This window comes from Homo sapiens, chromosome 10 (genome assembly GCF_000001405.40).
Source record: "Homo sapiens chromosome 10, GRCh38.p14 Primary Assembly".
Taxonomy (NCBI): Eukaryota; Metazoa; Chordata; class Mammalia; order Primates; family Hominidae; genus Homo; species Homo sapiens.
This window is the reverse complement of record NC_000010.11, coordinates 80,225,492-80,236,486: the sequence shown is the minus strand read 5'-3', so window position 1 is coordinate 80,236,486 and position 10,995 is coordinate 80,225,492. Positions and strand designations below refer to the sequence as shown.

The 10,995-nt window shown below is 44.3% G+C and overlaps 1 long non-coding RNA gene across 1 annotated transcript, besides 1 other annotated feature; it reads right to left on the bottom strand.

The window, feature by feature from the left end:
* Window positions 1–534: 534 nt before the first annotated feature.
* On the bottom strand, window positions 535–7,592 carry LOC124902470 (uncharacterized). Its single transcript, XR_007062217.1, has 3 exons — window positions 7,296–7,592; window positions 2,704–2,823; window positions 535–1,208 (listed from the first exon to the last, which is right to left on the bottom strand). It is a non-coding gene; the product is annotated as an uncharacterized LOC124902470 (long non-coding RNA).
* Window positions 1,379–1,768: an enhancer, noted in NCBI's record as "active region_3652". NCBI's record gives its function as "activates an Ori minimal core promoter by ATAC-STARR-seq in GM12878 lymphoblastoid cells {active_cell/tissue: GM12878}" and the evidence as "EXISTENCE:reporter gene assay evidence [ECO:0000049][PMID:35858748]".
* Window positions 7,593–10,995: the final 3,403 nt, after the last annotated feature.

Sequence of the window (10,995 nt, the reverse complement as noted above, 5' to 3'; positions counted from 1 at the left end):
GCCCTGGGAGGGTGAATGAGTGAGGTCCTCTAGGAAGGGCTCGGGGACAGAGCTCCTGGGCCACTTGGAAGGTCTGATGTGTAGGTGACTACAGGGGATAGCTAGGGGCAGGGCTAGAGGAGTGCTGGGTGCCCAGAGGCTGAGGCCCTCACTCACACATGCCAGGTTTAGGCTGGGGCACATGTGCACATGGGCACTATTGGGGGACACAAAGGACCATTGGGTGGGGGAGGCAGCGGTGGTCTGGCAGGCAAATATAGTCCCCAAGCCAAGGCTGACCACCCAGGACATCTGCCCTGCCCCGGCCTTCCTGGGGCCTCACTCCAGGGCACAGGCACGTGCCCGGTGCCACATGGGGCACACCTCCTGGACCCCTGTGTCTTGGCCATTGAAGGGTGCTTAGGGCTACCCTGAGAAACTGGTGCCAGGAGGGAGAATCTGGTCTCAACATATTTCAGGTTGTGGATTAGGGAGAACTACAGAAGGAGGGCATTTAACATAGGTTCATTCCCAGAACAAATGCTTCACACAGGGTATTGTCGAAATTAATATTTTATTACCTGGAACTCCAATCTGTGTACTCACCTGGGAAATTCTAAAGACACAGAGAGGACTTGGAGGAAGCAGAGTAACTGAATGTAACTTAAAATAACAAAAACAGTCCGGGTGCGGTGGCTCACGCCTGAAATCCCAGCATTTTGAAATGCTGAGGTGGGTGGATCACCTGAGGACAGTAGTTCAAGACCAGCCTGGCCAACACGGTGAAACTCTATTTCTACTAAAAATACAAAAATTAGCTGGGTGTGGTGGCGGGCACCTGCAGTCCCAGCTACTCAGGAGGCTGAGATGGGAGAAGGGCTTGAACCCAGGAGGCGGAGGTTGCAGTGAGCCAGGATCACGCCACTGCACTCCAGCCTGGGCAACAAGAATGAAGTTCTGTCTCAAAAAAAAAAAAAAAAAAGAAAAGAAAGAAAAAGAAAAGAAAAACATTGGAATTGTGGCCCTCCTGATGCTTTTCCAAATCAACCCTCTCAATGTCTCATCATCACCCCGCCCTAGTGGGGAGACTGAAGTGGCCAGGGATTTGCCGAAGGTGCCAGTTGGTTCCGAGTTCACTGCTGATTACATCTGACCAAGCTCCTTTTCTCAAGTTCACCTTGTTTAATCTTTCCAGTGACAGTTTTCGGCAGCTCCGGGACAAACTCCATCTGGTTAAGTATAAGGGAAATCCACAGTGACTTACCAATTCCCTACCCTCCTCCTCTGCCCCTCCACAGTCTCCCACACAGGCTGACACCATATGGTGGCCTTAATGGAATCCACCGAGTGTGTCAGGTTCTCCCCTTGACCCTTTGAAGGTGGATGTAGCCGTGTGATGTGACTCAGGACCTGTGAGTGGAAGTGAAGCGTGTCACTTCAAGACAGAAGAGTTGGGAGCCACTGAGACTGGCCACCCTCTCCTCCATCTCTTAGAGAAGCTGACAGGTGGAGGCTGCTCCTTTTATCCTGTTGGTGGATGAGGGGATGTGAAGCACAAGGCCCAGCAGAGCCATGGTGGACGTGCCGCATGAGCAGGATAAGAACCTTCAGTGTTGTAAATTTCCATTGTCTGGGGCTGTCCACTGAACCTACAGTGATATCTGGCCCATCGTAGCAGGCATGCACCATCTATTTCATGCTCTGTGAAGCAGGCTAGCCTACCCTCAGAACATGAACTTGTTGTCAGACACACATAGGTTTCAGTTTCAGCCCTGCCTCTTAATGACTGCAACCTCGGGCATTTGACTTTGAGTCTCCGAGCCTCAGTTTTGTTTTTGTAAAATGGTTTGCTATGCTATCTCAGGTGGAGGAGAGGATTTAATGAAATAAAAATCCATGTAAAGCATTGAGCCTAGGGGCTGGCACACACAGTGAGTACTCAGTCAAGGTTAGCCATGTAGCTTCATAATGTGTATTGACTGTAAATACTCAGACACTGCAGCAAAGTATTACAAAGAAGGAAGTGTTAACTTTTTGGCATATGTATCTCTTTGCACTTTATTTTCAAACGGGTAGGATAATACCACGTATACTTTTTCACAGTACGCTTTTTTCTCTTAATATGTGTTGAGATATATGTTAAATATATAAAAAACTGAATCATTATTTTAAATTGCAGGGTTATATTCAATTTTATGAAAACCTTATTTCTCTATTGTTTGACTTTTTGTAGGTTGCACAAGGCATTGAATTAAAATAAACATATCAGAATGCATTGCATTTATAAAGATAAATATCATTCTACTAATTTTTGTTTGTTATATGTATGTATATATATTTTGAGTTGCAAAACAGAACATATTTCTTCCTATGAATCATGTTAGAAAAAGTTTGAAAGCTGCTGATTTGGATTTTTTTTTTAAATTTGTACAGGACTATAAATAACCTTTTTAAAAATATCCTTGGGCACTTGACTGATTTTTGTCTTTAGGTTAACATGCCAGCAATGATTCCTTTTGCGTTTCTTACACAAGATAGCAATTTCCATCCAAATAAATCAACTATGCCATCCCATCCCTAAACCAAATTCCTTCTTCTGCAGAAGAAAAAGCCAGTACTGTGACTGCCTAAGCTTTCCCCTGCACAGCCACCCTATGAGACATGGGGCAGAAGCACTGGGAGCTATTCAGGGGCACCAGACCCCTTCCATCTGCCCTCACTCACCTTCCTTGGGGACTTGCATGAGACTGTCACTGACTTTACATGCTGCTGCAGCTCCTTGGTCAGCTGGTCCTTGTCACGGGACAGAAACTGTGGGGTCAGGACAATCAACACCTTCACGACCTGCAGAACAAGGGCAGAGGCTTATGGTGAGTGTCAATCTATTACATAGCTTAAAAAGTCAATATTGGTGGGGTGCAGTGGCTCACACCTGTAATCCCAGCACTTTGGGAGGCTGAGGTGGGCAGATCACTGGAAGTCAGGAGTTTGAGACAAGCTTGGCTAACATGGTAAAACCCGATCTCTACCAAAAATACAAAAATTGACCGGGTGTGGTGGTGCACACCTGTAGTCCCGGCTACTTGGGAGGCTGAGATGGGAGAATTGCTTGAACCCAAGAGGCAGAGGTTGCATGAGCTGAGATCGTACCATTGCACCCCATCCTGGGCTACAAGAGTGAAACTCTGTCTCAAAAAAATAAAATAAAATAACAAGAAAATATAGAGAATTTCACCAAATACCTGGACTTTATTTTTTAAGGATTAAAAAGAATATAGAATTGAGAAAATAACAGAAATTAAAAACCCAATAGATGGATTTATCAGCAAATTAGACAAAACAGAAGAGAGGATTAAAGAAGTGGAAGTTAGGTTAGTAGAAAACACTGAAATTGAAGGTTAGAGAGAGAGAGAAAAAGATGGGAAATATAGGAAAGTTAACAAGAGACGTGGAACATACCAGACAGGTCTAACTTGTGAGGAATTAGAGTCCCAGAACCAGAAAGGAAGTGGAACAGTACCTCTATTTAAAGAGAAAATGGGGTTGGGTACAGTGGTTCACACCTGTAATCCCAGCACTTTGGGAGGCCGAGGCGGGCAGATCACTTGAGGTCAGGAGTTTGAGACCAGACTGGACCAGACTGAGACCAGTTTCTACCTCCTCCATAACAGGAGGTAGAGAGCACCTCTACTAAAAATACAAAAATTATCCGGGCATGGTGGTGGGTGCCTGTAGTTCCAGCTACTCTGGAGGCTGAGGCAGGAGAATTGCTTGAACCTGGGAGGCGAAGGTTGCAGTGAGCCAAGATTGCACCACTGCACTCCAGTCTGGACGACAGTGTGAGACTCTGTCTCAAAAAACATAAATAAATAGGCCGGGCACGGTGGCTCATGCCTGTAATCCCAGCACTGTGGGAGGCCGAGGCAGGTGGATCACAAGGTCAGAAGATCGAACCCTTCCTGGCTAACACAGGGAAACCCCGTCTCTACCATAAATACAAAAAATTAGCTGGGTGTGGTGGCGGGCGCCTGTAGTCCCAGCTATTTGGGAGGCTGAGGCAGGAGAATGGCATGAACCCAGAAGGCGATGTTTGCAGTGAGCCAAGATCGCACCACTGCACTCCAGCCTGGGTGACAGAGTGAGACTCTGTCTCAACAACAACAACAACAACAACAACAACAACAACAACAACAACAACAAAAAAATAAAAATAAAAATAAAAGGAAATTTTAAAAAAGAGAAAATGTTCCCCCACAAATCTCAAAACAAATAAAAGACATTAATTCACAGACAGGAATGTCTGCAAATCCTAAGCAGGTGAATAGAAAAAAAGTCGTGATTAAATTGCTAAAAAAAAGATAAAAGGAGACATTCAAAAGAAGCCAGAGGAAAAAAAGACATATTACTTTCAAAGAAACAACAATAAGTAGGAGAAGGACTTTTCATCAGAAACTACAGAAGCCAGAAACCCACGGAATGACATTTTTCATGTTGAAATGAAAAAAATCTGCCAACATAAAATTCTACCCACTGAAATATACTTCAAAAATAAAAGCGTAGGTTTCTAGAAAATGGCAGCAATGACGATGACGTCACTTTTAAATCTCCCCTCATCATCACACACCAACGGAGTAACTAGATGACAAAACCAAAAACTCATGGACAATACAACACAACTACATGATAAAATCCTAGCAGAAACAAAACAAGACTTCCAGCAAGACTCGTCAGGAAAAAAGACATAATGTCCAATTTTGAGAACAAAAAGAAGATATCAATTAAATCCTACAGATATTAAAAATAAAAGAATATTATAAACAACTTCAAGTCAATAAACTTGACAGCTAGATGAAACTGACAAATTTCCTCAAAAGACACAAATTACAAAATCCAAATTATCCTATATCTATTAAAGAAATTAAGGCAAAGAGAATCTACAGCTAAGTTATTAGAATGGATAAGAATATTTAGGCCTGGTGCAGTAGCTCATGCCTGTAATCCCAGCACTTTGGGAGTCCGAGGTGGGAGGATTGCTTGAGCTTAGGAGTTCGAGACCAGCCTGGGCAACGTGGTGAAAGACCATCTCAAATTTTTTTTTTTTTAAAGTATGGATAAGAATATTCAGCAAGAATGTGGGATACAAAATATAAAAATCATTCGTACTTCTAGCAGCCACAAACAGAAAAGACAAATTTTAAAAAGATACCATTTATGGTTACAATAAAGGATACAAAATGCCTAAAAATAAATTTAACAAAAGATGTGTAAGTGGAAAAAATTATATATCTTTATGAAAGCTATTAAAGAGGCCAGGCATGGTGACTCACGCCTATAATCCCAGCACTTTAGGAGGCTGAGGCAGGTGGATCACCTGAGGTCAGGAATTCGAGTCCAGCGTGGCCAACTTGGGGAAACCCCGTATCTACTAAAAATACAAAAGTAGCTGGGCATGGTGGCATGTGCCTGTAATCTTAGCTACTGGGGAGGCTGAGGCAGGAGAACCTCTTAGAACCCGGAAGGCAGAGGTTGCAGTGAGCCGAGGTCGTGCCATTGCACTTTAGCCTGGGCAACAGAATGCGACTGTGTCTCAAAAACAAAACAAAAACAAAAACAACAAGAACAAGAGAAAAACATTAAAGAAGTCTTAGGCAAAAGAGACGCAGGTCATATTCTAGCTTTTATTTGAAGTTCAGGAGTACATGTGCAGGTTTGTTACATAGTTAAACTCTCGTCATGGGAGTTTGCTGCACAGATTATTTCATCACCCAGGTATTAAGCCCAGTACCCACTAGTTATTTTTTCTGCTCCTCTCCCTCTTCCCACCCTCCATCTTCCCATAGGCCCCAGAGTCTGTTGTTCCCCTCTATGCATCCATGTGTGCTCATTATTTGTCTCTCACTTATACATGAGAACATGTAGTGTTTGGTTTTCTGTTCCTGCATTAGTTTGAAAAGGATAGGGCCATATTTATAGATTGGGATATTCAGTCTTTTGAAGATGTCAGTCTCCCAACTGATTTATAGCTACAACATGTACTATAATTCAAACAAATCCTAACAGCTTTTTTTTTTTTTTTTTTGATACGGAGTCTTGCTCTGTGGCCCAGGATATAATGCAAAGGTGTGATCTCAGCTCACTGCAATCTCCGCCTCCCAGGTTCAAGTGATTCTCCTGTCTCCTGCCTCAGTCTCCCTAGTAGCTGGCAGTACAGGCTTACGCCACCACACCCAGCTAATTTTCGCATTTTTAGTAGAGACAGGATTTCCCCATTTTGGCCAGGCTGGTCTCAAACTCCTGACCTCAGGTGATCCATCCGCCTCAGCCTCCCAAAGTGCTGGGATTACAGGAGTGAGCCTGTAATGAAATTTGATAATCTATTTTAAATCTTATTTGAAAAAGCCAAAAGCCAAGATACTCTTGAAGAATAAGATGAGGAAGTTACTTTAGCAGACATCTAGCAGATAACTAGGAAGCTACAGTAATTAAGGCAGACTGGTTTACACAATTACACCGTGATAGACAAGTTAAATAATGACACAAAATAAAGAGGCCAGAAACCAACGCTCCTTTACATAGAAATTGGATTCATGACTGAATTGTAATTGCAGATCTGTGAAGAAATGATGGGCTCTTCAATAAGTAGTTCCAGGAAAAATTGTTATCATTATGGGGGAAAAGAGAAACCAGAGCTCTACCTCATACCATAGAAAAAATTTGATTTGGAATACTTAAATGTGAAAAATTAAACTGTAAAAATTTTAGAAGAAAATATCAATTATGAGAATGATTTTTTTTTTTTGAGACAGAATCTCCCTCCGTCACCCAGGCTGGGGTGCAGTGGTGTGATCTTGGCTCACTGCAACCTCTGCCTCCTGGATTCAAGTGATTCTCCTGCCTAGGCCTCCCAAGTAGCTGGGATTACAGGCACCCACCACCATACCTGGCCAATTTTTGTATTTTTAGTGGAGATGGGGTTTCACCATGTTGGCCAGGCTGGTCTTGAACTCCTGACCTCAAGTGATACACCCAGCTCAGCCTCCCAAAGTGCTGGGATTACAGGCATGAGCCACTGCGCCCAGCCTTCCAAGAATGATTTTTTTAAGCTCAGAAGGTGAAATAAATACAGAAAAATGCTGATGAATACAACTACTATGTTTGTTTGCCAGTGCTACACAACCAATCCTCAAATTTAGCAGCTTAAAGCCAACTGTTAGCTTGTGGATCTGTAGGCCAGAGGCCCAGGCGTGGTGTGGCTGAGCTTTCCACTTGGGGTCTTGCCAGCTTCAATCAAGGTGCCAGCAGGGCTGTGTTCTCACCTGGAGCCCTGAGTCCTCTTTCACGCTCACATGCTTGTGACAGGTTCATCTCCCTAAAGTTGTAGGATGGAGGTCTCGGGGTCCTTGTCTAGGTCCTTGTCGGCTATCAGGCAGGACCTGCTCTTAGTTCCTGGAGGGCATCTGCACGTAGCCTCCTCCATCTTCAAAGTCAGCCTTGGCCAGGCACAGTGACTCACTCACTGCCTGTAATCCCAGCACTTTGGGAGGCCAAGGCCTGTGGATCACTTGAGGTCAGGAGTTTGAGACCAGCCTAGCCAACATGGCGAAACTCTGTCTCTACAAAAAAATACAAAAATTAGCTGGGAGTGGTGGTACGTGCCTATAGTCCCAGCTATGCAGGAGGCTGAGGCACGAGAATCACTTGAACCTGGGAGGCAGAGGTTGCAGTGAGTGGAGATTGCACCAGTGCACTCCAGCCTGGGCCACAGAGTGAGACCCTGTCTTAAAAACAAACAAACAAACAAACAAACAACTAAAAACACCAGCCAGATTTGCTTGCCAAGTTTTTCCTGCAATTTGACACTCTCTGAAGTTTTCTGTCTCTGGTCCCTAGACCCCAGATTGAAGGGATCATGTGATGAGGTTGGGCCCACCTAGATAATCTCCCTCTTGATTAACTCATATGCAACCAATTAGTAATCCTAGTTACACCTGCAAAATTTCTTTTGCCATATATGCAGCATGATCACAGAAGTGACATCCTGCTATATTCACAGGTTCTGTCCACTCTTCAGGGGGGCATCTTAAAAGGGTGAGGGTCGTGAGAATTCTGCCTACCACAGTTATATTATAATTAAAAACTTCTATTCTTCAAATGACACTATAAGAAGGTAAAAGGGCAAGCTACAGAATGGGATGTAAGATTTACAATACACATAATTGATAAGGGAGTTGTTTCTAGGATATATATTTAATTAATTTATTTAGAGATGATGTCTCACTCTGTCACCCGTGCTGGACTGTAGTAGTGCAATCGTAGCTCACTGTGGTTTTGACCTCCTAGGCTCAAGTGATCCTCCAACCTCCGCCTCCCAAGTAGCGGGGACTACAGGCACATGACACACGCTCAGCTAATTTTTCTATTTTTTGTAGAGACGTGGGTCCCACTATGTTGCCCAGGCTAGTCTCGGACTCCTGGGTTCAAATGATCCTCTCGCCTCAGCCTCCCAAAGTGCTGGGATTACAGGTATGAGCCACTGCGTCTGGCAAAGAATATATATTTTAAATCTTACATATTAATAAGAAAAAAGATAATAGAAAAAGAGACAAATGAAATAAACATATTTTCACAAAAAAAACTCAAAATATCAACACTTGTATGAATACATGTGTATTTTTTTCTTTATTTTACTTATTTATTTTTTTGAGATGGAGTCTTGCTCTGTGGCCCAGGCTGGAGAGTGCAGTGGCGTGATCTCGACTCACTGCAATCTCCGCTTCCTGGGTTCAAGTGACTCTCTTGCCTCAGCCTCCCGAGTAGCTGAGATTACAGGTGTATGCTACCACACTAAGCTAATTTTTGTATTTTTAGTAGAGACAGGGTTTCACTATGTTGGCCAGGCTGGTCTCAAACTCCTGAACTCATGTGATCCGCCCATCTTAGCATCCCAAAGTGTTGGGATTACAGGCGTGAACCACCGCACCCGGCCATGTGTATTTTTAATTGTGGAAAAATTTGGTGTCCAGTGCTTAGTCTTCCCTGCTCTGGGAGGCCCAGGTGACTCTGCCACAGCCTGTGTTACTCTGTGACCTGCAGGTACTGGGAGATCCACAGGGAAGACACTGGGACATCCTAGAAGCTGGGAAATGAAAAGAAGAGTGAAGAATGCAACCACACATGGATGGATGGTCTTTTCCATAACATAATGCCTGCCTCTCAGGCTCCAATTCCAAAGCGAATCATTTACAGTTAATTTCTGTCTCCTGGGTTGATCATTCTCCCTAACCATCACTTGCTGCCCCTCAAAAGAATTGTCTACATTCCCTATCTCCTCCTTACCCTGTGAAAAATGGTATGTCAGCTTCTATACCCCATTGGGAGGCTGGGAAATCACTGACTCTCCCCTGCCCCATACATTAATTCATCTGTATTAAAAATAAGTGAAAACTCAGTAAGACACCATTTTACCCCACTGTATTAGCAAACCTTTAAAAATCTGACAATTTCAAGCCTTTCCAGTGAATCATAGTGTTACTGGTGGCAAATCCCTAGGGGGCTGCAGCAACCTCAATTCTTGCCTCCTCAGCAGAAAGAATTTGACCAACAGCATAATACGGCAGAATGAGAGACCAAGGCAAGTTTTAGAGCAGAAGTGAAAGTTTATTAAAAAACTAGGCCAGGCTCGGTGGCACATGCCTGTAATCCTAGCACTTTGGGAGGCCGAGGCGAGCAGATCACATAAGTCAGGAGTTTGAGACCAGTCTGGCCAACATGGTGAAACCCCATCTCAACTAAAAATACAAAAAAAAAAAAAATTAGCTGGGCATGGTGGCAGGTACCTGTAATCCCAGCTGCTCATGAGGCTGAGGCAGGAGAATCACTTGAACACGGGAGGCAGAGTTCGCAGTGAGCTGAGATTGCACCGCTGCACTCCAGCCTGGGCAACAGAGCAAGACTCCCTCTCAAAACAACAACAACAACAACAACAACAACAACAAACTTTAGAGCAGGACTAAGAGGAAGTAAAGTACACTTGGAAAAGGGCCAGGGGGCGACTTGAGAGATCAAGTGCACTGTTTGACCTTTGACTTGGGGTTTTATCTGTTGACATAGTTCCAGGGTTGTACATCCCTTCTCCCCTGATTCTTCCCTGGGAGTGGGCTGTCCACGTGTGCAGTGGTCTGTCCACGTGTGCAGTGGTCTGCTAGCAGTTGGGCGGTGAGCACGCAGTGTGTTTACTGGAGTTGTGTGCATGCTCACTTGAGGCATTCTTCCCCTACCAGGTGAATGTCCCTAGAAGTTAAACTCCACCATTTTGCCTCTTAGTGTGCATGCTTGAGCCCACTCACCCAACTCCTGAGATCTTATCGGGAAGCTGCTGATCACCAGTTTCAAGTTTGTTCTATCTATTAGGAGACGGCCTTTCCCTGGTGCAGGCTGCGACCCATTATTAGAGACAGTTTAACAATTGCCTGATGGTTGGTGACATTACTGGTGGGGGGGTGGGGGTCGAGCCCTCTCCTGCCCTGCTCATGCCTGACTAGCTACCTGTAACAATAGGAACTCACATACTTTTGACACGAGTTTAAATTAGTGCAACCTCTTTGGATAACAAATCGTGATGATCTATAAAGTTGGAAATGTACACCCTCTACAATCCAAGAGTTTCATCCCTGGGTATGTAATTGACAGAAATGCATGCATGGCTGGTTATAGTGGCTTATGCCTGTAATCTCAGAACTTTAGGAGGCTGAGGCGGGAGGATTGCTTGATCCCAGGAGTTCAAAACCAGCCTGGGCAACGTGGCAAAATCTCGCCTCTACAAAAAGATACGAAAATTAGTCAGGCATGGTGGTACATGCTTGCAGTCTCAGCTACTCAGGAGGCTGAGAGGGGAGGAGCGATTGAACCCAGAAGGTCAAAGCTGCAAGGAGCTGTGATCATGCCACTGCACCCCTGCCTGGGTGACAGTCTCAGGGTCTTTTGAGACAGACTCTGTCTCAAAAACAAAAAAGAAAG